The 25,999-nt window shown below is 49.5% G+C and overlaps 1 protein-coding gene and 1 long non-coding RNA gene across 4 annotated transcripts in view, besides 13 other annotated features; one reads left to right on the plus strand and one right to left on the minus strand.

Annotated features, from left to right (window-relative positions):
* Nucleotides 1,099-1,599: an enhancer, noted in NCBI's record as "H3K4me1 hESC enhancer chr10:111965444-111965944 (GRCh37/hg19 assembly coordinates)". NCBI's record gives its function as "activates a minimal SCP1, AML or CMV promoter by ChIP-STARR-seq in primed H9 embryonic stem cells {active_cell/tissue: H9 hESC(primed)}" and the evidence as "EXISTENCE:reporter gene assay evidence [ECO:0000049][PMID:30033119]".
* MXI1 (MAX interactor 1, dimerization protein) overlaps nt 3,018-25,999 on the plus strand; it is a 79,761-nt gene continuing 56,779 nt past the window's right edge. The window contains exons 1-2 of one of the 3 annotated variants that reach the window (NM_130439.3): nt 3,018-3,495; nt 23,602-23,734. In NM_130439.3, the coding sequence (NP_569157.2) occupies nt 3,222-3,495; nt 23,602-23,734 (407 nt within the window). In that variant the 5' untranslated portion in view covers nt 3,018-3,221. Of the gene's footprint in view, nt 3,496-5,643; nt 5,729-21,408; nt 21,697-23,601; nt 23,735-25,999 lie in introns of those variants that run through there. The other 2 variants (NM_001008541.1, NM_005962.5) reach the window with 2 other exon arrangements.
* Nucleotides 3,189-3,268: a silencer, noted in NCBI's record as "silent region_2807". NCBI's record gives its function as "represses an Ori minimal core promoter by ATAC-STARR-seq in GM12878 lymphoblastoid cells {active_cell/tissue: GM12878}" and the evidence as "EXISTENCE:reporter gene assay evidence [ECO:0000049][PMID:35858748]".
* Nucleotides 5,409-5,458: a silencer, noted in NCBI's record as "silent region_2808". NCBI's record gives its function as "represses an Ori minimal core promoter by ATAC-STARR-seq in GM12878 lymphoblastoid cells {active_cell/tissue: GM12878}" and the evidence as "EXISTENCE:reporter gene assay evidence [ECO:0000049][PMID:35858748]".
* Nucleotides 5,549-5,808: a silencer, noted in NCBI's record as "silent region_2809". NCBI's record gives its function as "represses an Ori minimal core promoter by ATAC-STARR-seq in GM12878 lymphoblastoid cells {active_cell/tissue: GM12878}" and the evidence as "EXISTENCE:reporter gene assay evidence [ECO:0000049][PMID:35858748]".
* Nucleotides 5,549-6,542: a biological region, named in NCBI's record as "H3K27ac-H3K4me1 hESC enhancer GRCh37_chr10:111969909-111970887".
* Nucleotides 5,564-6,542: an enhancer, noted in NCBI's record as "H3K27ac-H3K4me1 hESC enhancer chr10:111969909-111970887 (GRCh37/hg19 assembly coordinates)". NCBI's record gives its function as "activates a minimal SCP1, AML or CMV promoter by ChIP-STARR-seq in naive H9 embryonic stem cells {active_cell/tissue: H9 hESC(naive)}" and the evidence as "EXISTENCE:reporter gene assay evidence [ECO:0000049][PMID:30033119]".
* Nucleotides 5,636-5,988: a silencer, noted in NCBI's record as "fragment chr10:111969981-111970333 (GRCh37/hg19 assembly coordinates)". NCBI's record gives its function as "represses an EF-1alpha promoter that drives an FKBP-Casp9 reporter gene in an ReSE screen in K562 erythroleukemia cells {active_cell/tissue: K562}" and the evidence as "EXISTENCE:reporter gene assay evidence [ECO:0000049][PMID:32094911]".
* Nucleotides 6,829-7,048: an enhancer, noted in NCBI's record as "active region_4005". NCBI's record gives its function as "activates an Ori minimal core promoter by ATAC-STARR-seq in GM12878 lymphoblastoid cells {active_cell/tissue: GM12878}" and the evidence as "EXISTENCE:reporter gene assay evidence [ECO:0000049][PMID:35858748]".
* Nucleotides 8,281-17,340, minus strand: LOC105378480 (uncharacterized). The gene is made up of 2 exons (XR_946315.4): nt 17,270-17,340; nt 8,281-16,947 (listed from the first exon to the last, which is right to left on the minus strand). It is a non-coding gene; the product is annotated as an uncharacterized LOC105378480 (long non-coding RNA).
* Nucleotides 10,008-10,057: a silencer, noted in NCBI's record as "silent region_2810". NCBI's record gives its function as "represses an Ori minimal core promoter by ATAC-STARR-seq in GM12878 lymphoblastoid cells {active_cell/tissue: GM12878}" and the evidence as "EXISTENCE:reporter gene assay evidence [ECO:0000049][PMID:35858748]".
* Nucleotides 21,158-21,217: an enhancer, noted in NCBI's record as "active region_4006". NCBI's record gives its function as "activates an Ori minimal core promoter by ATAC-STARR-seq in GM12878 lymphoblastoid cells {active_cell/tissue: GM12878}" and the evidence as "EXISTENCE:reporter gene assay evidence [ECO:0000049][PMID:35858748]".
* Nucleotides 21,328-21,487: a silencer, noted in NCBI's record as "silent region_2811". NCBI's record gives its function as "represses an Ori minimal core promoter by ATAC-STARR-seq in GM12878 lymphoblastoid cells {active_cell/tissue: GM12878}" and the evidence as "EXISTENCE:reporter gene assay evidence [ECO:0000049][PMID:35858748]".
* Nucleotides 21,818-21,887: an enhancer, noted in NCBI's record as "active region_4007". NCBI's record gives its function as "activates an Ori minimal core promoter by ATAC-STARR-seq in GM12878 lymphoblastoid cells {active_cell/tissue: GM12878}" and the evidence as "EXISTENCE:reporter gene assay evidence [ECO:0000049][PMID:35858748]".
* Nucleotides 22,788-22,857: a silencer, noted in NCBI's record as "silent region_2812". NCBI's record gives its function as "represses an Ori minimal core promoter by ATAC-STARR-seq in GM12878 lymphoblastoid cells {active_cell/tissue: GM12878}" and the evidence as "EXISTENCE:reporter gene assay evidence [ECO:0000049][PMID:35858748]".

The following is a 25,999-nucleotide window of genomic DNA, read 5'->3' on the forward strand; positions in this document are numbered from 1 at the left end:
TGGGGGGAAAGGGGCAAATAAAAGAAAGAACAATCTTGCTTTAATATACAAACAAGGTCCATGGAAAGGTATTGCCAAACAAGCAAATAAGCCAAACAAACAAATGAACAGAGTGTTGGGAAAGCAGGACCCAGGCCGACTGGGCACCCAAGATATCCCGGGCCCTCTGAGAGCATTCTAGCTGACTTCATTGGGCATTTCTGCTTTTCTTTCAAAGAGTTCACATGTGTTCTCATCAGAATGGCTGTATTCACATCCCCTACCTGTTCTATGCAGAAATTCTCAGCATTTCCAAAGGGGCCTGTTTACTTCTGGAATCAAAACCCCAAAGAAAGGGGGGGTTGCAAAGGGTTTGAATGGCTCCTCCTGGGAAGCAAATCTAATCGGGAATGGAGCTGAGCTTGTAACCCAGCATCCTGGATGCCTGTCCTGTGATATAACCCCTGAAACACCACTCTTTCTGTTGGGGCCAACTTTATTAGAGAAATCTGTTAATTGGGGAACGGAGCGGGAGAAGGGAGAGAGCAATGGGATGTTAATATGATTTAACACTTGATGGGCTCTGAAAACAAATAAGGAGGGGGCTTCGGGCTTTAGCTTGGCACATTCGTCGTTCCACATACGTGTTACCAAAATGAATATATGCAACTAAACTATATGCGAGACTCTGGGGGCACAGTAACACAGACTTTGTGAAACAAAAAGGCATTTCTCCTGCTTCCACTGTGTCTCTTGTGGTGCCATTGTCTGATGCTAAGAACTCACATAATAACAAAAAACAATGCCCCTATGATGGGGGGAAAACTTGATTTGGCACCAGCCGTGGTGTTTTCCATGGGAATGATGGTGGGGGCTGTGGCCGACTGTGGGAATAGTGCAAATCAGCACTTTTTTGTAGATTTTCTTCAAGCCATTGTTTATTTTGGCTTTGGTCAGATCCGTGGCCCAGCTTGAAGATTCCCACTGGGCTTTCTGAAACTCGCAGACCTATGAGAGATGGAACAGGGATAAATAAATAATTACAAAACACCCTTCCCCCACCATGGCACTCATGCATGCGTGTGCCTGTCTTGGTGGTGCATGTATGTTGCAGTACTATACATCTGACCCATGCCACCAATGGGCAATTAAAGAGAAAGCAAGGTTTTCTCTGGGCTTAGCTGGTTCATTGTCTCAGTACCATCTTTCATTTGGGGCAAGAGAGATCAGAGCTGTTTCACACAAGGGCCAGTTTTTGCAAAATGGCATTGGAGAAAGCTTGTTTGAAACTGTGCATACATGAGGTCTTCCTAACATTTTTAGATGTTTACAGGCATTTCAACACGAATAACTCAGGTTGTGGTTCTCACAGAAGCAAAAAATCAGTAATTGTTCTAATAATGGAAGATAAACTTTTTTTTTTTTTTTTTTTGAGACGGAGTCTGGCTCTGTCGCCCAGGCTGGAGTGCAGTGGCGCTATCTCGGCTCACTACAAGCTCCGCCTCCCGGGTTCACGCCATTCTCCTGCCTCAGCCTCCGGAGTAGCTGGGATTACAGGCATGCGCCACCACGCCCGGCTAATTTTGTATTTTTGGTAGAGACAGCGTTTCTCTATGTTGGTCAGGCTGGTCGCGAACTCCCAACCTCAGGTGATCTGCCCGCTTTGGCCTCCCAAAGTGCTGGGATTACAGGCGTGAGCCACTGCGTCCGGCCATCAAGAGTTTTTATGACAATGTGTATGAAGCTGCCTTTGAGTAGGGTGGCTGCATCGCACACCTCCAGGGGGCAGCATTGTCTTTGTCCTCTATATAAATGGTTCCCCTGGAGGAAAACTCCAGGTGACCTTGCAAAGTAACCATATTTAGATGGGCTTGTCATAGAGATATTTTCCAAGGAAGTGCAGAAGAGTCTTGTTCACTACATCTTGTTCCTTTCTTAGATACAAGTTACATCAGAATAGGGGACTCAGGCTCTTGCCTGGGTCTGGATTGGAAGAAAAAGAGCTTACCATGGGCCAGAGTGTGCTAAGTCAGATACAATACACAAGCATCTTATCACACATTTCAATGATGTGGAAACTTAGGCCAAGAGAGGTTAAGGGACTTGTCCAAGCTCACACAGTCTGTATGCAGCAGAGCTGGGATTTGAACCCTTTCCTATGGCACCCTAGAGCAGCCTTCAATCATCCCCTGACACCTCCAGTACTTCCCAGGGCTGGAAAGCATCCATGATTGCGGACAGCAGTGGCAGTGAAACAATGTCAGCTGGGGTAGGGGTTTTCAGAGGCAAAAGGTGGAATTCAGCTGGGGAGGGGGGTGGTTCCTGAGCTGCCACTTCTGCCTCTCAAATTAAAGGGAGCCAGGTGTGGAGGCATCCTGGTGTGAGCTTTGCACAGCTGAACCAAGGCTGGGCAGAGGAGTGTGGAGAGGGATGCTGACATCTCCTCCCACTTCTGGAAAATAACTTTGCATTTGAAGGGAGAAAGGCATGAGTAAATCTGTAACTCGGATTTGGACGGCCTGGGATTTCATTTGACTGTGTGAAGGCACACACAGGTGCCTCGCAAGTGTGTGCGTGATTACGTATGTATGTGTGTCTGTGAGTAGGAGTGTTTGTGTTGGGGGTGGGGGGATCTTCTGGTTACACACTGGTTCCCTTCTTCCCATTTGGATTGGGGAGCTTTTATTTATTTATTTTTAAGTCATAGCAGCCACCATGTATGGGGACCTAACTATGTGCCAGGCATTGTGCTGGACACTTTCTGAGGCATTATTTTTCTGTGAAAAAAGTAGTTTGTTTTTATGCAGGTGCACCCAGAGACATCAGGTATTTTTTTCCATTCCGGTTAAAAGACAGTGTTCTACTCTGTGGTAAGCCTTGGGGAGAGGCAGGGAAGCCTGCGGGGACGGGCAGGGGCGGTCCCTGCCTCGCTCGCTAGTCTCCACCTTTTATTTTGACCGGTCCGATGGCGACAGGCTCGCACTAGGACCCAGGCGCCAGAGTGCCTCCGTCTGTCCTGTAGGTTCATTCAATCTCCCATACACACAGACTCACAGCGAGACCGACACACACTCCCATACACTCACACACACAACTGCAGGCAGCGAGGCTCGGGAAGTCAGGCCGGCTTTTCGCCCCGGCGCCTTCTCTGCTCCAGCCGGCCGGGTCTCCCTGGGGGCCCGGAGCTCGGCCGGGCCGCGCAGCCCCGTTAGAGGACGAGCTCGGCGGACCCCCGCTCCTCCATGGGCAAACGCGGGCGGCCGCGCAAGGAGGCGCGCTGCGAGGGCGCGGGGCTGGCCCCCGCCGCGCCCCCGGCTGTGCCCCCCGCCGTGGCCGCGCCCCAGCCCCCGGCCCTGCCCGAGGACCCCGCTGGGGCCAAGCCCAGGTGCCCCTTCTCAGACATTTTCAACACCAGCGAGAACTCGATGGAGAAGCACATCAACACTTTTCTGCAGAACGTGCAGATTCTGCTCGAGGCCGCCAGCTACCTGGAGCAGATCGAGAAAGAAAACAAAAGTAAGTTTGGGGGCCCCTGCTCTTCCTCGGCGCCCGGTTCTTTCTTTCTCGCCCACTTGGGCGACCCCTGTTGCGAGCTCGGCCCGTCCCCCCCCCGCCCAACATACACATCCAGCCCTTGGCAGTAAAGCCGATGACACCGGAGAAAGGACACGCACGCACAAAGCTGCTAAAGATGTAACAAAGACGGGCGAGGGGGAGAGGGGCCTGTCGGTGCGTCGGTCTGTCCTCTCCGGCGGGCTGGGGCTGGGAGGATGGCCCAGCGGAGGAGCGGGGGAGTGTTGTTGTTTGCTGACAACTGAGCCGAGAGCTCATCTCTTTGAGGTCGCTTTTCTTCCTTTTTTTTTTTTTTTTTTCCGGAGCCTTCTCAGGCAGACAAGTGTTGTTTTTCTGTTGCTCGTTCCTGGGTGGGGTGGGGATTAGAAGCCGAAAGTTGGAAACCATAGGCAGAGCTCAGAGGTTCCAGAAAGAAAACACACAGACACACACTACAACAATAACAACCAAACAGCTCTCCACGGCGTGGGCTCGGCTCTGTCTCTCTCTCTCCCTCCTACTTCGCCTTTTTCCTTCCCTCTAGCAGCAGGACTGGGCTCAGGCCATCACGTCTACGGACACAGTCCCCCTGCACGTCCGTTGCCGTGGGGTGCCACCGCCGCCCCCCCCCCCCCAAAGAAGGAGGCCGGCGGGGCCAAGCAACGCCAGCAGCTCGCCCCGGACACGCCGTCCTGAGCCCGGGAAACTTGGCCGTGGGGACGCGGCTAGAAGGAAACTTTGGGATCTTTGAGAAACAATAGTTGGGGAAGAAGGTGTGGGCTGTTCTGTGCTTTTTCTTTATTTTCCGGGAGACGGCTCTTGAGTGAGCGCACAGGGCAAGCAAGGCAAACGCCTTCCTGGTCGATTTCTACTCCCCCCACCCGCCCACCCCCAGATTCACGTGGATAGTAGTGCGTGGGTGGGGGTGTGCTGGGAACCCCACCCTGGCCTGGCTTCTTTTTTGTATTTATTTGTTTCATTTTTGCCCCTACCAGCCAGGTCACCCAGCTTTCCCCAGGCAGTCGACTCAGCGCCCTAACGGGGGCACGCGTGTGCAGCGTATCCAGCACCGTCCTCAGAATAATAGCTGTGAAAAGGAGGAAGGGAACTAGGCAGACAGACCGACAGATAGGGGGAAACCGGGATGTTTAATGTGTCCGAACAAGTAGGAAGATCAATGAGGCGCGAGTGTGTGTGTGTACGTGTGCGCGTGTGTGTGTGAGAGAGAGAGAAAGAAAGAAGAAAGGTCCCGATTGCAACGTGTCAGATCTTGCAACCTTCCCCCCACCCAACACAACAACCCTCAGACACAAAAACACCATTGCTGACTGATACCCCAGGTCTTCAGGGTTAAAGGAACCGTGTGTTGGCAGCGCAATTGTGCAGACGCTGTAAGGCCAAAACGAGGATTTGTGTTGTGAGGTCGGTGGTGCGTTCTTTTCTTTCTCTTCTCGCCTGTTTTCCCGGAGTGCCTGGGTTGCGAGAAAGGCGCATCGCAGGCTGTGCAGCCGAATCGCTTCGCAATTATTCATGCTGGTCGGAGGGGGATGGGGCGCGGGAAGCTATGTGTGCATTTGTCTGGAGGGTAGTTTCTGAAAAGCCAGAGCTGGTGGGGAGCTGGGTGAAGACGTGGTTTTGTTTGGTGTGTTTGCTTTTGTTGCAGGGGGGAGGGGCGCGATTTCTTCAGCTACCCCCATCCCCGGCTACCAGTTCTCTGGAGTCTGTCCCGTGGCGTTGGCTCTGACTAGGGGTACACCCCATGAGGGCACGTTGGCAGTGTGTGGCAAACCTGGCTTGCCCCCCTACCCCAGCCACCCCCCCTCACCAGCGAGGTGTATGGAGGAGGCGGTCGGAGATTCCTCAGCGTCCCGCCCCCCACTTCGCACCCGCAGACAATCGGAGACCTCCCCCTGCCCCACCCCCCACCCCCCACCCCGCCGCCCTGGCCGCCGCCACCTCGTTGTTTACCCCGTGCCGGGGCTCCGGCGTGGCCACCAGTCACGTAAGCAGAGAGCCGGGCGCGCCGGGCTTGGGCTGCCCCGCGCGGGGCGGGCCCGTGGCGGCGTAACCGGGCTCCAGAGGCTGGTGAAGCCGAGGGGCTTCCTCCCAGCCCATCGCCCGAGGCGTCCGCCCTGCAAATCTGCCAGCCCCCGAGAGGGGTTTGGAACCTTAGCACCCAAGTCTAAGTCAACTTCATGTGCGTAATAAGTCCCTCGGCCCCGCAGCCCCCCTCCTCCGGCCGGCTCCCGGCGGGAGTATTTTTAGCTCTCTTGCTTCTTTTCGCCGCTGCTGTTTGGCTCTAAATGACGTGATGCCAACGGCCCCCAGATTTCCCCGAGAGCTTGGGGCGCCGCGCCGTGCCCAGTTTGGCTGCAGAGACCCCGCTCCAGGCCCTCGCCCCGTCCCCAACAGCTCGAACAGGCTGGGGTGACCTCCGGCAAACTCCGTGCGACCATCCGCCAGGCCCTCTGTTATCCCCCTTGCAAAGAGAAGCGGTCCACGGGGGCCACTTTATCCCACCCCCTCTCCTCCCCTCCTCCTGCCCGGTCTAGGTCTCTGGGTACGGAAAACGGCGGGCCCTACATCTGCCTCGTTTTATGGGGGGCGCTTCTTCGCGCTGGCGGCGCTCGTCGTTGTTTTCTGCTCGCTGCACACAATGCCCGCGCGTCACGGCAATCCGCGTGTGCACAGCAATAACGCGAGTCGGGGGGCGGGTCGTGCGTGCGCCCGGCTCGGGCACTGCGGGTCGCTCGGCGCGCGCGGGGCTTGTTTTGCTCCAGAGCTCTGCTTTCCGAAACGCTTACATCATTCAGTCGTTGGGGGAGGGAGAGGGATCTGGGCGTTCCGATAGGATTCCAGCATCTACCGGGTCCCTGGTTTCTGGAAGGAAGCAGGGACCCTAGCTTTTTAGTAGTTATTATTGGGGGTGGGGTTGGGTAGTTTGTTGTGTACGTCTTTTTTTTTTTTTTTTTCGGTCACTACTGCAAAAGGGCATCGTTGGCCGACTCAGGTGCACAACCTCCCCGCCTTCATTTCAGCGAGTTCCCCTATAATCACTTGATCTCGGTTTCTCCGCCTTCTCCTCCTCCCCCTCCCAGCTAGAGACACATGGTTTCCACATGGAGACAAACTTCTTTCCTCCGACTGGACTTGACCTAGCTGCGTCGTTCAGCCAATCGGCAGCTCCAGCCTCTTCTGACGTCACGCGTTGCTGGGGCCGGAGGCTGGGTGGGGGGTGGAGCCAGGCTGCAAGCCAGGAAATCTCTGGGAGCTGTAGTGCGGCCAGCTGGTCCAGTCTCTTCTTAAAGGGACGCTCTTCTGTCCGGAGATGAGTGTCGGGCCCCGATTCTCCATTTCGGGTTCGGTGAGACCTTTCTGAGATGCATGGTGGACCCTGGTCACGAGTTAACACGTTCCGTTTTTACTGCTGTTTGCGAAGTACTTACTTGGCAGGAGCTTGCCTTATTTTCCATCGTAGCCAGAACTGCTTTTCGTTCCCTTGTTGAGGTTTCCGTACTGGTAGTGTTCACCAAGTTGTGGCCACATGGCTGAATTACTTCCAGTGGAGAGGTTGAGTTTTCTTGGAGGAGGGGTTCAAATTAAGTCACATTGTTGACTGTCTGCTGTGTGCAAGGCAGGGGGGATTCCCTAGGAAAGGCAGGTACATTCTCCCAAAACTCCAACTGATGTGAATCTCTACGGATCACAAATTGAAGGCCTCCAGAAATATTAATCATGAAGGCTGTGATCCTATTACCACAAATTCAGAAATTATATGTAAATAATCTCTGACATCATCACCTATATGCATTTTGAGTCCAGTGGAAGGGTGGGAATTAAGGACTGACTAATAAGTAGAAAAAGATCTTGGAAAAGGTTAAAACTAAAAGAGAAGAACAGATCCATAAAGGGATGTTATGTGCATAAGAGCCGACTGGCAGGTAAGTGAAACAAGCTGTGAGAGCAGGTAAGGTCTGGAGGAGAGAAATGGGCTTCCTAGTGTCTGGAGGAGGTTGCTTTGGAGGCAACACTTAAGATAGGGAAGGACGATCAGATGAGAGTAGAAAGCCATAAGGCTCCTTGGAGTGGATCACCTGGGTTTGAGGGTGGGGTGCTTTCCTAGGGGCACGGACAGCCCAAGAAACAGCCTGTTCCTCCTGGTAGAGGAAGCTGCTGTTGTGTGGTGTCATTTGGCCCCACCCTGCCTTCTGACTTAATCTCCTCTTCCTTGCCCTGAAACCTCTGTGTCTGTACAGCAGATCCACCAGCAAGCAGGCTTCACAGTCGAACCTCTGTGCTCGACTTAGACTCTTCCACTGTCTAGAATGCTTTCATTCTCTTACTCCCCTAGGGATATCTGTATCCTACCTTCTCTTCAAGACTTAGATCAGTTTCCACCTCCTCCAGGAAGCTTCCCCTAGCTATTTCAGCCCATTTGGCTCTATTTGTTAAGTCATTGTACTTGAGAGAATGAAACCTTTGCAGTCACATGGAGCAGGGCCCAGCTTGCTACTCTACTGCTTACTGGCTTTGTGACTTTGGACACAACTTACTTAGCCTGAGGTTCCATTTCCTTTTTGCAAAATGGGGATAACAATAGTATGACCCTCATATCATTGTCAAACAACTCAATGAGGCACTGCACTTAAATATTTAACGTACCTGAGATATAATAGGTGCTCAATAAATAGCAACTTCTCTGAGCTTTGATAATCAGTACCATGCACTTCTCTACTTGCTTCCTGTGTGTTAGCTTTACCTTTACAAGGAGTTTATTAGTAACTTAAGAGAAAAGATCACTTACAGTATTCAATGCATGTTACCCATTGCATATAGCACACCACTGGGCATACAGTAGTAGATCCTTAATATAAATGTTTTGATTGGTTAGATTTGTCATTTACTGCTAGCTATGGCACGAGGATCAGGTTTGGAGGCCAGGGGACACGTGACAGCCTTTCCGAAGATTTGGAGACGAGTCAGAAATACTGATCTCCAACTCCCTTGGGTGGTGAGACCAATCCCTGCAAGAAGATGATAGTTCAGACCTGAAGAGCTGAGACTGCATCCTGTGAACAGCTGTGACCCTGAGAAACAAATAAGAAAGAAGGAGACTAGAGTGACTTCTGCTGAAATCGAGGGCTTTGATGGCAACTAATGTTCAAGCTGGTCACGTTTTTGCATGGCAGCAATCTTATGAATTCATACATTCTTCAAATGTACATTGAATGTCTACTATGTGCAGATGCTTCTTTCTGAAAACTCTGTAGGTTGAAGTATGGTGGGGGTGGAGTAGGGTATTTGTCTTTAGTGGAGTTATGTGAAGAGCATTCTTAAATCAGGCCCTATTTCCTCTGCATCCCAAATTATGTTCCCCAGATTCAACTTATTTTTTCCAGTTTTAAATATGATCTCTGCTGACTGGTAAATACCAGAAGAAGGCTTTTTTGAGGATATTGTTACGGCTTTCAGAATCACGGAGCTCCCAAGGACTGTGTGTCCTGGAAAGGAGATCCAGGGAAAGGGGACAGGGCCTTGGAAGTTAGAGAAGTTGAATTGAGCCATTCCTGGTTTGGGAGCAAAAAGGAGGCTCCATTAGCTACCAAGGCAAAACAGTAGCTGCTCATCCATCTCTCATCTCTGATGGAAACAGTCTCCCACTGACACATCCAGAAATGGGGATTCATCTGGAGATGCCTGGGCAAAAGTCTAGAGGTGAAACTGAGGAAAATGAAGAGGGTGCTGGCGTGCAGCAGCAGCAACTAATTGTATGGCATAATATCAATAATGGCTACAATTTATTGAACACTGACTATATTCCAAGTATGGGGCTATGCATTCATTATCTCCCCTGATCTTCACAACAACCTTCTGATGGATGCAATTTTATTACCCTCTTTTACGGAGGAGGGAACTGAGGAGCAGGGATGCCAGGTAATTTGCCCAAAGGATATATAGCTAGTAAGTCGCGGAGCTGAGTTTTGAACTTAGGCCTCTGATTCCAGAGCCTGTGCTCTTAACCATATACACATGTACTCATTTCACAGCCAAGGAATGAAGTCCAGAGAAGTGAAATGACTTACTCAAGGTCACCCAGGAACCTGAAGCAGAGCTGGTATTTGAAACACCTTGTTTATTGTCCAAGGTCTTCCTGCACACACCTTGCTTAGAAAAGGTTTCGAAGTGAGGCTGGAGTCAGAAGAGCCAACCAGAGAGGCTTTTTTTCTTTTTTTGTCTTTCAGAGTTGTTCAACTCTCCTGGCCTTAACTCAAGTTTAGGGCTCCTAGGAAACACCACCCCCCTCCTGCTGCCTTTCCCAAGTCTGTCCTCTGGGCATATTAGAGGACTTGGGGCTGTTGCTATGGTACTGGGGCCAACAGCAGGTTCATCAAAAGCCGGGTCTTTTGCCTTTTGAAAAAAAAACCCAGCCCTGCAGAAGCGAATTGGCCACAAAGATTTGCATCAGTCATTGTGGCTTGTTCTGTTTTAGATCCCCCTGCCTCCCTACCCCACCCCCTCCTCCCTACCACCACCACTTTCTATAAATACAGTTGGATAAATATTGATTTAAACTGGGTTTCTGGAGGAGAAGCACATGCTTGCCCTGGCTTGGTCTTCACTTAGATACCACCAGTATGTCAGGCCTGACACACCTAACCCCCGACAGCTCTGGCTTCCAAATGTCCTGTTTTGGGGAGATGAATTGTGGTTTTGTGGCTTTTGAGTTTTTTTTTTTTTTTTTAAAGGAGAGAAAGAAAAAGAAATAAAAAAGTAACAACCCAGCAAGAAATGGGAGTCTTCCTGCAGAATGAGGAAAGCAATTTTCAGCAGGCAGAAATGGGGGAGCTTTATAGTAATATGGCCTCCTGAACCATTCTTCTCCCTTCCCATTTTTCTTTCTGCTCCACTTCAGTTTTTTTTTTTGTTTTTTTTTTTTTTTTGAGATGGAGTCTCACTCTGTTGCCCAGGCTGGAGTGCATTGGCACAATCTCAGCTCACTGCAACCTCCACCTCCTGGGTTCAAGTGATTCTCCTGCCTCAGCCTCCCAAGTAGCTGGGACTACAGGTGGTTGCCACCACGCCTGGCTAATTTTTGTATTTTTAGTAGAGACAGGTTTTCACCATGCTGGCTAGGCTGGTCTTGAACTCCTGACCTTGTGATCTGCCCACCTTGACCTCCCAAAGTGCTAGGATTACAGGCGTGAGCCACCACACTGGGTCCAGGTTTTGTTTTTAAAGGAGGCAGGTATTAGCACAGAGCATCAGGGCCAGAAGGAGCCCCAGAGGTCACAGAGCATCCATCATCTGTACAGTCATGGAGTCTGAGACCCAGAGAGGGACACTGGCTTGCCCAAGATGACACAGCAGAGGCAGAACCAGGTCCTTCTGGGCTGTGTTCCCTCCTACCTGATACGAGAATGGGTTCCAGGTAGAGTCCCAACCTGGGCATTTGTTTCACAGGTCCAGTGCTCATAAAGTCAGCAATTTTCAAACCTGGTTTACTGATCCCAGGGTGTGTCCGGTTATTGCAAAGGTCATTGCAACATTCTCAATAGTCTTTCAAAATGAAGCTAATTTCAATTTGCCATACTTAGAAAAATACTATCTTTTACATTTGGGGGCTGGGAGGAGGGAGGAGCTAGAAGGTGGTGGCAGTGATGAGGTGGCTATCCCAAGCCTTGACTGAGGAGGAGGAATTCAAGTCTTGGAGGATCCTTCTGGAGGTGGAGCTCTAGGCTCACAGTGGGGAGAGAGAAAAAAAAGAGAGGGAGGGAGGATGGAAGGGAACGGGAGAGGCTTCAATTCCCTGTCCCAAGGACAGACACCTGCTCTCTGGCTCTTCTAACTTAAAGGAAGCAATTGTCTCTGATGTCATTGTACCCGAGTGGCCTGGCTAGAGGTGTTAAAGCTGTCAACAGCTGACTTGATCTTTGTGGTCAAAAATAATGGGCATTTGCCATCATCATGCTGAGCAGGAGGCTCCTTCTTTGCTTCCTCATCTTGGCAGAAGTGTGCTGGGCCCCTTGCTTATGAAATGTTTTGAAAGTTCAGGTGACCCTTGGTTTGAGCAGTACGCTCCAGGGAATATATGTAAACAGAATCCTTTTTCAAAAAAATTTAGAGAAACTCTCTTGAAAAGCCCTTGTGGCAACTATTTTGGTAAGATGTGGAATTATGTTGTGAGCCATTCTCCCTAAATTTGTGTTTATTCATTCATTAATTAAACCAGTACATAAGGAGTACATACTTGCTTAATGGGAGGCACTGTGCTAGGTCTTGGAGGTAGAGTCCTTGCCCTCATGGAGTGTATTATTCCAGTGCCAGGTTTTAGAGGTAGAGTTCCTGTCTTCATGGAGTGTACTGTTCCACTGCCAGGTTTTAGAACTTCACTTGTCTTAAAGTGAACCCCAACAATGCAGGATGGCATTTGACTTGAGTATTTTTGTCTTTGGTTCTAGCTATCATTATAGACAGAATAAAAATTTAGCCTGGGCTTCCAAAAGGAGTAGTTCTTTCCCTCCCTGTCTCCCCTATCTGTGTTTAATGTTTTTTTTTTTTTTTTTTTTGGAGACAGGGTCTTGCTCTGTTACCCAGGCTAGTACAGTGGCACAATCTCAGCTCACTGCAACCTCTACCTCCTGGGCTCAAGTGATCCTCCTGCCTCAGCCTCCCGAGTAGCTGGGACTATAGGTGTGTGCCACCTTGCCCCACTGATTTTTTGTATTTTCTGTAGATACAAGGTTTTGCTATATTGTCGAGGCTGGTCTCGAACTCCTGGGCTCAAGCCATCGACCCACCTCGGCCTCCAAAAGTGCTGGGATTACAGGCATGAGCCACCGTGCCCGGCCTACAATCCTTTGTGTTTTTGTGTTTGTCCTTGTAATTTCTACAGATGTTTTTTTTTTCTTTCACTGCCTGAGCTTAGGAAACTGTGTAAGCAACCTTGTAAGTAAATACATTCCACTCGCAGTTCTTTACAGATAGGGGCCTTCTGCACTTGGAGGATTGTCCACACCAGCATTCCTCCCAAGTCCACTCTCCTGTACAACATGCTCTTGGCCACAGACCTCTAATATCCAACTCCAGTGTCTGTAAGGAAATTTAGACACAGCAAAATTAGAAAGATAAACACACTGTCCGGAGGGAGAGGGAGATTGAGAAATTCAAACTGAAGCCAATTAAAGGGGATCTGGATTACCTACTATTTGAAATTTCTTTTTCTGTGTCTTTATTGCCATTAGCAAGGATACTTGAATAAAGGTGATTTGGGAGTAGGAAGGCTATTGTATTAAAGTGGAGGACATGCCCAGGGCTGCTCTGGGCAAGTGAGAGCTGGTGTGGACTTTGTTTTTATTTCTACAGGGGCCCAGAACTACCTTATGGTGCCCCTGTGTTATCTTCCTCTTACCTCCACCACAGCCTGACCGTCCTGCCATATTTCTTGGCTCCCAAGACTGTGTGTGCCTTGCATACAACTTACTTTCATTTTTTTCTGCCAGTGGTACTGAGCTAAGTTTTTGTTGAACTGAGCTAAGTTCAACAAATAATTTCTAAAACCTGCCAGGGAGCCAAGCTCTGTGCTTGGTGATTCCAAAGTGAAGCATGTATGATCTCCAGTTCCAGGTCTATCTTCTAGTTCAAATGATAGACGAATAGAAATCAGTCAACAATTCTTGTCTGTCTTCTGGGAGAGTGTGATAACCTGTCCCCAAGAGAGCTGCTGACAAGTGCAATGTCTTCTCTGTTTTCCAAAGGAGTGGTGATAATGCCCTCCTAGTATTGAGCATTTACTATGGGCCAGCACAATGCTACGTGCTTTATATTAAATTCTCACAAACATCCAATATGCAGGTGCTATAATAACCCTCATGTTGTAGATGAGGAAAGCCTTAGCTTTAGCAAGACTAACTTTCCTAAGGCCACAGTCTAATAAATAGTGGAGTAGAGACTAAAACCCCAGATTTTTCTTTCTTCCTAGAGAGACCTTAGGGCTCTGGGAAAAGCCCCAGGGAGTAAGAAATGTGCAAGAGTCAAGAATTGGAATCTGGAGGCTGGGCACGGTGGCTCACGTCTGTAATCCCAGCACTTTGGGAGGCCGAGGTGGGCGGATCACGAGGTCAGGAGATCGAGACCATTCTGGCTAACACGCTGAAATCCCGTCTCTACTAAAAATACAAAAAATTAGCCGGGCGTGGTGGCGGGCGCCTGTAGTCCCAGCTACTCGGGAGGCTGAAGCAGGAGAATGGCGTGAACCCGGGAGGCGGTGCTTGCAGTGAGCCGAGATCACACCACTGCACTCCAGCCTGGGTGACAGAGTAAGACTCCATCTCAAAAAAAAAAAAAAGATTTGGAATCTGGAATGTTTTAAGTTAGGCTGAGGGTGCCCTTGAGGATGCCTCCCTGGAGCGACTTCCTTTTCTCCCCACTCTTGCTAGGGTAGAGAGTGGGCTGTCAGAACCTCCAGGGCCCTTTGGGTGTTGACAGTGGAGCCAAATGGCTCCTTTCTCTAGACGGAGATGGTCTAGGGTGTCACTGCTTGCACCTGCAGTAGTACCTTGCCCAGCACCCCCTGGGGAACTCACCCAACCAGTAGGTCTCCTGTGGTTCTGCATACTAGGGTGTCAGGGTGTGAATCCACACCCTGTCAGGCTTATTAGGCTTCCTGGAGGCGCCCGAGCTTGTAGGGCAACTGGGCTGGCCCATACATGGAGCCAAGGGCTTCTGCCAGGGAAGCCAGAGGAGAGAGGCAAGTGTGAGCTGCAGAGATGAGCATTAGGTCCTCGCTGCCACCGTGACAGTGTGGGCCAGCTGGTTCCAGTCAGACAATGACATAGGCCAACCACTTTCTCTCGCTGATCCAGAGCTAGGAAACAAGGGATCTTAAATATAACTGCATTTGTCTGGGCGAGGTGGCTCATGCCTGTAATCCCAGCACTTTGGGAGGCCGAAGTGGGTGGATCACCTGAGGTCAGGAGTTCGAGACCAGCCTGGCCAATATGGTGAAACCCTGTCTCTACTAAAAGTACAAAAATTAGCTGGGCATGGTGGTGGGTGCCTGTAATCCCAGCTACTTGGGAGGCTGAGGCAGGAGAATTGCTTGAACCTGAGAGGCGGAGCTTGCAGTGAGCCAAGGTCGTGCCACTGCACTCCAGCCTGGGAGACAGAGTGAGACTCCGTGTCAAAAAACAAAAACAAAAACAAAAAACCCAAAATATAACTGGGTTCCTATTACTCACTTTTCAAAAGCCCTTCAATAGCTTCTTTCCTGCCTCACTTAAAATAAAATCCAAACTCCTTGTCATGGCCTTCATCATTGCCGTTCGGAGTGAGTGTGATTGGAGGATGGAGAGCCTTGGTACCCCCTGGGAGCTTGTCAGAAATGAGACTCCAGGTCTGCTGCAGTAGAATCTGCATTTGCCACAATACCCAGGTGATTTGTGTGCTCCTTAAAGTTTGAGAAGATGTCTTAAACAGTCTTTGTGATCATCCCAGAACTCCTCACCCAGCCACCTAACCTTATCCCATTTTTATCATTTATCCTGTATCCTGCTCATCACAATTTACACTTACTCTACTTGCTTATCATCAGTCTGGAGGGCTGGAATATAAGCACATAGAGGACAGGGACCATAAGTAGTTTTGTTCATTATTTTATCTTTGGCATCTAGCTTAGTGCCTGGCACATAACAGATGCTTAAGGAATATTTATTGAATAAATGATTAGTTTTCTGTCTTTATCTTTCTGACCTAGTGTTTCTCAACACAGGAGCTGTTGGTGTGACAGTTCTTGTACAGATTAGTTTGGAATATGGCAGGATTTAACATCCTTGGTTCCCACCCACTAAACGCCACTGGAACGCCCCCAGTCATTGTGACAATAAAAAAGACACTCCTACAATGTTTCTACCGCCTCCTAGTGTGATGGGATTGCCCTTGGTTGAGACCATTGCTTTAACCAATTTCGTTTGACCTGACGCGATTGAACATAACATGATGTATGCTGTAGGGTCCAAGGGTCAGAAAATTCAAGTTCCAATCTGTTCATAGCCTGTGTGACCTTGGGCAAATCACCTATCCTTTCTGGGCCTTATTTGTAAAATAGGAATCTCAGAGGTGTGCTGAGGATTAAATGAACTGACTGGAGGAGCAGCACCGTGCATGTTGGCCCTAGTTATGTGGCAGCTAGTAGGCAAATGGATGTGTATTGTTCTAGGATCTAGGGACAATCCCAGCTTCCTCAAATCAAAACACTATTGCTGGAAGAGCTGGTGAGATCAGCTATACCTTGGACAGGCAAGAGAATGGTATTTTTATTATAAGTGCTGCATCTGAGGCTGAGAGAACGCAGATACAAGGCAGCAGGAGCTGGTTGTGTGGTTTAGTGTTCAGGGCCTGGCTAGACCTAACTGTGACCTCCACAACTTTCTGCTGCCTGGAAAAGGGTGGTGATGCCAAGGGGTGGGGGCAGGGCAACTCGAGGCCAGCTCCTGGCAGGGGAGGGAGGGTTACCCAGGGCTTTGGCAAGAATGTGGGGCATCCTCTTAGCAGCAGGAGAAGGCCTTAAAAACAAGTTACATCTAACTTTGAAAGAACAGACTATTGCAATACCAACATCTAGGAAACACAACAAAAAATACAGTTTACTTTTGCTTTCAAATATAGATGCAGAAATCCTAAACAAAAATATCAACTCTTGGAACTGAACAGTGCTTCAAAACAATAACACACCGTGGCTGACCAGGTTATTTGCCAGATATTGCTGAAAGTCACAAAATCTACCAGCATAAATGATTACAGGCACAAATTAAAGAATAAAATGTGTTTACACTAACAAATGTTGAAAAGTATTTGGGAGGCATTTCTAATGAAGAAAACTACTTCGGCACAACAAAGATTGTTTCCTGTGGTGGTCTTTTAATTATAGTGGAAGGGTGAGGTTGGGCCCAAGGTTTGCGGTCATCACCAGGAGTGAAGGAGTTGACTCTGATGGCAACCTTTCCTTGGGGAAGAATGAACCATAAACAGAAAAAAACAGCATTTGGATCCTTTGGGAATGCAACTTCGTCTTGATATTTAAAGGAATGGGCCCCACGGGTTTAAAAAAGCCTGAGTTCTAACCCTTATTCCATCAGTTTGATAGACAGCTGTTGGCCTTGGGCAAGTTACCATACCTCTCTGAGCCTCAGCTTTCTCAAGTGAAAAATGGGGACTGTATTGAGAAACAAGCTTAATGACACAAACTTCTATGACATAAACCTTGAAATGTTATTTGGGGAAATATTCACTTGGCATGGCCCTAGCAAAATCCTCCCAAATACCTTATCAGTAGCACCCTGGTGTCACCCCAAGTGGGGTGCTCCAAAGTAAGCAAGCCGCTTAGATGTGCATGTTAATTGAGTCCTGCAATGCAGATGTCTTCTTGGATCCAAGTTCATGCAAAAAAGAAGGAAAAGGACATTTGAGAGATTAACACATCCATTATAATCACTGAAATAGGCTGCTGTAATAAGGGCCATTTAATAAAATGTAAGAAGCCCTTTTCTAAGAGGGAAGAGATGGGTCAGGATGGAAGTCAAGTGCAGCTGTTTGAGCATTTGCCAGTGGTCTGATCTCACCAGTAAAACTGGAGTTAAAAAGCAACAAACTTCCAGATTCAGCCGTCTCAGATAAACACTGCCTCCCCCTGGCGTTCCCCCCACCCCATGTCCTTTCCCTTTCTCCCCAGCTCGGGCAGCACCTGAGTCGCTTGGTGCGTTTCCGTGTGGTTGGGATGTCAGCCGGCAGCCCTGGCGACAGGAGCCCTGGGAGGCGGCAGCTACCTCTCGGGTTTAGCATTACGTCATCCCTTCTAGACCCAAATTTATCTCGGCTGCACACAGACCCGCAGCTCTGAGCTGCCGCTGACTTGAGGAGAGCTTACGCATGAACTTAGGCAAGGCTGACTCACTGGGCGAGGGAAAGGTTTTCTGCTGTTCTTCACGTTTCTGGGCTCTGGGGGAAGAGGAGGGGAGGAGGCTGCAGTAGTCATTTTGGGATGGGAGATGGAAAAATGTATAACTGTTAACGGTTCTCATTTAAGAGCTTAGAGTTCACCTCCCGTGTCCCCAGTGTTGATTATTTGAAAACGCCCATCCTTAAAGATAATTGCAGAAAACAGTGCCCTACTCAGTAAACACTTTGCAGTTTCAGGGAAGTTCTCCTAAGTGCAAGGTGTCATCAACACAGTAACTTTGGACTTGTAACTTAACCTCATGGCCCCTTCCTCTCTCCCCATCTCGCCTCCCTGAAGAAAAGATACAACACATCAGCCTCCATTGTTTATGAATCTGCAATAAATCACTTGGAAATTGTCACTAAGTAAACTGTGCTGAGAAAGGACCCTTAAGAATTGAGGGCTTTGCCTGCTTCCTTCAGAAGGCAGATTGTCCCCATCCGTGGCTGTGATCGTTATAGGCCTGGGGTATTCTGGGGGACTTTCTCCATTTTCAAATGACTCCCTTGAGAGAGAGATATACTTTAGGGAGAGGACAGAACAGAGACTATGGGTAGGATTCCAGGTTCTTATGTCAGTAGACTTTGGAAGCCTTGCTTTTCCTGTTTCCCCATCTGCATTTGTAGTGCAAACTAGTTCATCGGAACAAAAGAAAGGCTATGGCTGCCTCTGGGTTCCTCCGGGCTGAGACTGTTGCTGAGGGATGGTTTGTGGGTAGCATTACTTTCCTGTGGATAGAGCCCTAAGCTTTGTGCTGGAGAGGCCCTTATAGCTGATGTCCAAGGAAGGACTCCAGGAGGCAGCCAGCGCAGGGAGAAGGAAGTGGCACTTCAATTGCTTTTAGAAAAGGCTGGAGATTTCTGTACATGAACCAGCCCTTAATACTGCCCACCATGATCATCATCTCTCCCCTTCTTCAATGCAGGTGGCCTTTTGGTGAGTCTCGCTCTACTTTCCATGTCCTCATCTCCCTCTTGGCCATGGCTCTAGAAGAAGGGCTCTAGGTTAGTTCACCTGGAGGTCAACTGTGAAAGGCCATGCATAGGCCCCAGGCCTCTTGCATGTAGCCATCTCTTCCTAACCAGCTATGGTTCTGTGACCTCTGGAATTAAAGCCATCTTGAATTCATGTATATTTTCAGTTTGTACTACTTTTCTTGATTGCTTGTCACACAAGTTTACCTCCTATTGAGAAAAGTAGAGTTGTATTTGTCCTGGCCAGGGACACTTTGGGAGGCTGAGGTGGGCGAGTCACGAGGTCAGGAGTTTGAGACCAGTGTGGCCAACATGGTGAAACCCTGTCTCTACGAAAATCAAAAAATTAGCTGGGCGTGGTGGCAGGCGCCTGTAACCCCAGCTACTTGGGAGGCTGTGTCAGGAGAACCCGGGAGGTGGAGGTTGCAATGAGCCGAGATCGCGCCACTGCACTCCAGCTGGGGTGACAGAGTAAGACTCCGTCTCAAAAAATAAATAAATAAATAAATAAAAAATAAATAAATTCTACCCTCAACTAACAGATGTTCTAAATGAATGGTATTTTCTTTAAAATAATCCAGTCCCACCCCTACCCAACATGGCCCTTGTTGAGGGTGAAGGGAGGTTGTTACCAACACCCAGTGGGAAAGTCCAGATCCAAAATGACCTGGGAAAGTCCAGATCCAAAACGACCTAGTCAAGAGCTAAAAGAACAGTCCCTTTTTGAAAGCCTTTACAAAAAAAAAAAAAAGTTCTTCTGTGGCTTGCGAACACCTCTCATTTTGGGTCTGCTTGCATTTGATGGAACGTCTATTTGGTCTTAAATGTGGTGCCAAGTGTAATATTTAAAAGGACTGGCAGAATTTTGCAGCTTGTGACCTCACTGGAGATTTTGTTCACTTTACCAAAAAAAAAGAAAAGAAAAAAGAAAACAAAAGGTATGAGGGAAAGGTAAGAAAACAAAAGGTATGAGGGAAAGGTATATTAAAATGCAGCATGAAGCCGATAACATTTTTAAGAGGGTAAGATTTCCATCTCAAGATGGTATTTTCTGCAGGAGCCAATGGAATGACCACGGGAGGGGGAAACTCCCCCCTCACCAGGAGCTTCCTGTTATTTTGGATGTGATGTCAAGCAGCAGGTTAATATAATTGGGGTGGAAAAAAGTTATGGGTATGTTTGCACGGTTCCCAGCTTGTTCCTAGAGCATTCAAGTACGATTCTCTTGTTCTTCCTCTCCCTAGATCCCTTGTTCCCAACTGGGGGACAGGGGAGGGATTTTGTGCCCCAGGAGATATTTGGCAATGTCTAGAGGCATTTTTGGTTGTCACACCTGAGGGGTGGTGGTGTGCTACTGGCATCTAGTGGGTAGAGGCCAGGGATGCTCCTAAACATCCTGCAAAGCACGGAACAGAGCTCCTGCTCCAAGGAGGAATTACCCAGATCAAAATGTCAATGATGCTAAAGTTGAGAAACCCTGGTCTAGACTTTGAGGATTTTTTAGGTGGAGGACTTAGAAAGAGAGTGGCCATGAATGAGCAGTCAGTGGCTTTTTTTTTTTTTTTTTTTCTTTGAGACTGAGTCTTGCTCTGTTGCCCAGGCTGGAGGCCGGAGTGCAGTGGCGTGATCTCGGCTCACTGCAACCTCCGCCTCCCGGGTTCAAGCGATTCTCGTGCCTCAGCCTCCCGAGTAGCTTGGATTACAGGCACCCGCCACCATGCCCGGCTAATTTTTGTATTTTTAGTAGAGACAGGGTTTCACCATGTTGGCAAAGCTGGTCTCGAACTCCTGACCTCAGGTGATCCGCCCACCTCAGCCTCCCAAAGTGCTGGGATTACAGGCGTGAGCCACTGTGCCCGGCCAGTGGTAGTCTTTTAATGTGGTCTCCGCTCTCTAACTTCCTTTTTAGCTACAGAGGAGAGCATAAGAGAAAACATCATCATCGCTTCTATTTACTGAGTGCCTAGTATATACTAAGTGCTGGAATTATTATATTTAATCTTTGCAAAAAGCACTACTGAATACACAAACCTCGAGAGCAGGTCTGCGTCCGTTTCTCTCTTACTATGCAAACTAAGTCTAGTACAGTGCCTGGCACATGGCACGCCCTCAACGCCGTGGATATGATCATATCCATTTTATACATAAGGAAAATGAGGCTGGAAGAGTTCACACAGGTCTCAGTGTAAGTAGCAGAGTCAGGATTTGAACCAAACTGTTCCGCACCAGGGAGAATTTTCTGGCGTCTAAAAGCACTAGTGAGGAGAGGAGAAAGTTTTAAAAAGTAAGATTAAAGAAAAAAGTAACTACTTGTCTGTGTGGAAGCTGAGGTGGAAGAAGGGCTTCATGGAAACCCTCTCTGATGAAATCATCCCTCGTTTTTGAACAGCAATTTTGGCTTTTCCAGTTTCTGTGTGCGCTGTTGGTGCAGGTGTGTTACTCTTCTTATTTTGCAGATGAGCAAACTGAGGCACATAAGTTACATGAGAAAGTAGGAGATAGAGGACTGGAACATGATACTTCGAATAAAGAATGTCTCAGCCCCTGGGCAACCGCAGGGAGTCGCTGAGAAACAAGTTTCCCCGGGAGTAGACTCCCAGCTCGCTCAAATCCTTCCCATTCCACATCGTGTCTGGAGGGAGGAAAAAAAAATTCTTCCCTCCCAGAAGCAAAGTCCCGCAACTTCTTAGTCTTCCCTAGAGACAGGAAAGGAAACCCAGCGGGACTACACCTTCCGACGACCTTTGCGAATCTTGCGGAACGCAGGCGCCCTGAAACGGCGTGTGCACTACGATTCCCGGCAGCCGCGGGCGGGTGCGGGACTACATTTCCCAGGGGGCAGAGGCAGGGGCGGGAGGGGGCGGGCCCCGGCGCTGCTCCCGCCCCTCCCCCGTGCTCGCGGGGAGAGGTAAACAAACCACGCGCGGGCTGCCCGCGGCACGGCGGGCGCGGCTGGCGCGGCTGGGGCGGCAGGGGCGGCGGAGAGCGCGCCGAGCCGCGGCCGAGCTGGCCCGCCCGCCCGTCGCACATGTTCCGGAACGGCGCCCGGCCGTAGCCGCCTGCGGCGCCTCCTGTCGGCCCGAGAAGGGAGTGCGGAGAGGCGCCGGTCGCCACCCGCGGTGCCCATGGAGCGGGTGAAGATGATCAACGTGCAGCGTCTGCTGGAGGCTGCCGAGTTTTTGGAGCGCCGGGAGCGAGGTAATGGCTGGGCGCCGCTGCGTGAGCCCGAGCGCTACTAATCTTTTTCGGCAGTGCGGTGCGGCCGGTAAGGGAGGGCACGCGTGTGAGGTGCGCGCATGAGGTGAGGTGTGCGCGCATGTGAGGGGAGGGGTGTGCGCGCGTGAGGGTAGAGGAGCGCGCGTGTGTGGGGAGGGGCGTGTGGGGAGGGGAGCGCGCGTGAGGGGAGGGGCGTGTGAGGGAGGGGTGCGCACGCGTGAGGGGAGCGCGCGTGTGAGGGGAGGGGCGTGTGAGGGAGGGGTGCGCGCGTGTGAGGGGAGGGGCGTGTGAGGGAGGGGACGCGCGTGTGAGGAGGGGCGTGTGGGTAGGGGAGCAGGCGTGTAAGGGGGGCGTGTGAGGAGCGCGCGCGTGAGGGGAGGGGCGAGTGAAGGAGGGGAGCGCGCTTGTGATGGGAGGGGCATGTGGGGAAGGGAGCGCGCGTGTGGGAGGGGCGCACGCGTGAGGGGAGGGGCGTATGAGGGAAGGGGAGCGCGCGTGAGGGGAGGGGCGTGCACATGTGAGGGGAGGAGTGTGTGAGGGGAGGGGAGCATGTGAGGGGAGGGGAGCTCGCCTGTGAGGGAGGGGTGCGCGCGTGTGAGGGAGGGGTGCGCGCGTGTGAGGGGAGGGGCGTGTGAGGGGAGGGGAGCGCGCGCGTGAGGGGAGGGGCGCGCGGGTGTGAGGGGAGGGGCGCGCGCGTGTGTGTGAGGGGAGGGGTGAGCGCATGTGAGGGGAGGGGTGCGAGCATGTGAGGGGAGGGGCGTACGCGTGTGGGGAGGGGCGTGTGAGGGGAGGGCCATGCGTGTGTGTGAGGGCAGGGGTGCGCACGTTAGGGGAGGGGCGTGTGAGGAGAGGGGCACGCGCGTGTGTGGGGAGGGTCGCGCGTGTGCGGGGAGGGTCGCGCGTGTGTGAGGGGTGCGCGCGTGGGAGGGATGGTGCGCGGGGGGGAGGGGCGTGTGCGGGAAGGGCGTGCGCGTGTGGGAGGGGCGTGCGCGTGTGGGAGGGGCGGGTGCGGGGAGGGGCGCGCGTGCGTGGGGAGGTGTGTGTGCTGAGATCGTGAGTGGAGGCGTGTGTGAGAGGTCGCGCAGGTGCTGGGGGAGGTGCGAGGGTGCGCACGGAGGGTGGGGCTGTGGGTGTGCGGCGAGCGGGAAGGAGACGGGTGGAGGGAAGTTGGAGAGAGGGCGGTCTGGGGCTGGAGAGAGGGTGACCGTGGAGAAGCTTGGAGGGCCCCGGAGCGGGAGAGGGTGCTGGGAGATAAGAGGAAGGAGGAACACGGATGCTGGGGGGGGTCAGGGGAAGGGACGAGGCCGGGAGAACACTGAGCGGGGGAAAACCGGTGGAGAGGGGCCTTTGAATACCTGCGGGGTGATGAGATGGGGTCCCTTTAGCGGTGGCAGCCCAAGGGGCTGTAGAGATGGCGCAGAAAGACCAGGAACTCGGAGACTGTGGTGTCGAGAGAGAAAATGTCTTTCTAAGACTTGTTCGAAGTACACAAAAATATTGGGCTTAAAGAGACTCTTTAGAACAGAGAGAGTTGAAAGTAAAGGGGAATTTTTGAGGCAAGCGAAGTCAATGAGGTGAATGGTAACTGGTCACAAAATTTTTGTTCTAAAGCATCTGAAATCTCAAGTTCTTGGGAGAGAAGGATTTTGGAAAGGGGGGATAAACTCTTTGGTTTAGAGGAGGTATCAAAACACCTTCCAGCTGGTGGGGTGTCACAGGATTGATGTCCAGGCGAGGGACATTAATTTTCTAACCAAAAAGAGTGGAAACATTTTACCTCTTTTCCTGCTTTCAAAAACCTGTTACTGCAAAGACCTCGGATTTGTGGGTCAATGGATTTGGGTACTATATTCTTCTTACCGTATCTTTTTTTCTTGCTTTCTTCAGAGTGTGAACATGGCTACGCCTCTTCATTCCCGTCCATGCCGAGCCCCCGACTGCAGCATTCAAAGCCCCCACGGAGGTTGAGCCGGGCACAGAAACACAGCAGCGGGAGCAGCAACACCAGCACTGCCAACAGGTAGCAAGCTGGGAACGCTTAGAAGAGGGAACTGGAGGGAAGGAGCACATTTCTCCTGTAATCCCAAGTCTGAAGGAGCAGCACTTGATGGGTTCCTTTACCACTACCCTGGGGATTTGGCCCTTTTAAAATAATGAAGTCTAGAAATCATAACCTGGTTTTGCATGGAAGGAAAGGAATATAATCTGGAAAGACAACCAAAGAAGTTCTTGCTGGGATTATTAAGATGGCTATGCCAAGTTGAGAGACTTGGCAGCATGTGTCCATGCATGCAGCCACCTGCTAAAAGTAATCGTGGGCTGGCTTTCAATATTCTGGCCAAGTTTTGGACAGTCCAAGAAGATTAAAAAAAAAATCAGAAATAGGTCTGGCAGGGTATAAAGCAGAATCAAGGGTTTGTTAAAGGAATAAAAATATTTAGGTAGAATTGGTAGTGAGCGGATGTGGTTATTTGTTTAAGGAGAAAAGGGAAGACCATGCTGTGAAAGTTTTGCCTCTTTAAATGATGAGATCGGATTGGTTGGTGGGCTCTTAAAGCAAAAAGGAAAAAAAAATCTGTTTATCTTTCAAGCAGAATAGATCTTTAAAAATATACTTGTCTAGATGTACTTGGAAAGGCTGGGCCTAGTGGCTTACGCCTGTAATTCCAGCACTTTGGGAGGCTGAGGTGGGAGGATTGCTTGAGCTTAGGAGTTCAAGACCAACCTGGATGACATAGTGAAACTTTGTGTCAAAAAGAGAAAAAAATAGATGTACTAAGATGTAGCTGACTTCCATTTTTGAAAACTTTTGAGTAGTATGTGGCTATCTCTTCGGTGTTTTTATTCTAGGGAGCCAGTGAATTCCTAGGATTCATCTCATAGGAAGTTTTCAAAAGGCCTTTCTTAACAGAAGATTAACAGATGGCTGCCTTTTCCATTGATAAGGGGAATTAAATGAGACCTTTATTTCTGTTTCCCAGAGCTTTGTCTAGAGAATATAATAAACATTCATTTTGAGGAGGACAGAGCAATCCCTGGGTAACCAAATTTCCCTGAAGGCTTTGGGGAGCTTCAGTCAGGTGGTTGGTTAGTCATTTGGGACAGCAGATTGGGTCAGAATGGGGCTCTTGATTCAGAAAGCCTGAGGCTTCTACAGATAATAATTGGAACTCATGAGGTTGGATCATCCCACTCTGTATTTCAGACATCACCGAGGAAAAACTAGGATTCACTTTTCTCCTTTGACTTCTCTATAGAGCTGCACGTTTCCTTTTTTAGCTTCTTTTCATTAAGACTACTATATAGTTTTTAAACTTAATTTCTTAAGTTATAAAAATAATTAACCATAAGCTTGATGTACTATCTGTGTTGTGTGTGGGTCTAGAGATTTTGTTGTAGTATGGTGTATTTGAGATGAAAATATGTAGTATGATATACAGCATTTTAAAAAATGTACATTTGCTTGCCCTTACGGTTTCAGTGTTTAAGCTATCAAGAATTAAGACCTATTCAGGAATTTATGTGTCTTTCAATCCACATAGATTAAAAAACTTTTTTTTTTCAACTTGGAGACATAGGAAGAGTACACATAGGAAACTAGACCTGGGTTCTGTCGTGCTGCAAGTATTTAAGCCTTTCCTATTTTCTAGAAATTAGGTATATAATTTCAGTACATTTCCCATCCCTTACTGTATTCATCTGTAAAATAAGATGCATTAGAGTCTCACCAAGGTCCCTCCTTCTCCTGAACTTCTATGACTCTGATTTATTGACAGTTTTAGAGATTGGTTACTATATTAGTAATTTAGTATGTCTCCCATCATTGCAGATGTGACATTTTTAGGAACTCAAGGATTATAGAGGCATAAATAAGATGCACATTCCTAAGTTTTATCAATTATGTTACCGGTCATTAATAAGAAACTCTTAGTCATCTGTTGACTTACGCTTTGCTCAGCTTGGGGTTTGGGCTAAGTGATGTTTCTCTTTCATGCTAGTGTCTCTGTTAGGATTCTAATATTATGTGTGGGACCACAGTGCTAATTACTGTGTTTTAGCATAGCATGTCGGAAAATTTGTAAAACTGCAAGCATGCCATATTGTTCTGATAGTGCCCAAAGGAGAATATGTGTACATTAGACCACCTAAAACAGGAGAAGATACTTTTTTTATGGGAATATAAGTAGCAAGAAAGAGAGAGAGAGAGAAAAATATATTTTAGAATATATTATCTCAAGATCCACCAATGTGTGGGTTTTGGGCTGGGGCTTATGAGAGAGAACTA

This window comes from Homo sapiens, chromosome 10 (assembly GCF_000001405.40).
Source record: "Homo sapiens chromosome 10, GRCh38.p14 Primary Assembly".
Lineage (NCBI taxonomy): Eukaryota > Metazoa > Chordata > Mammalia > Primates > Hominidae > Homo > Homo sapiens.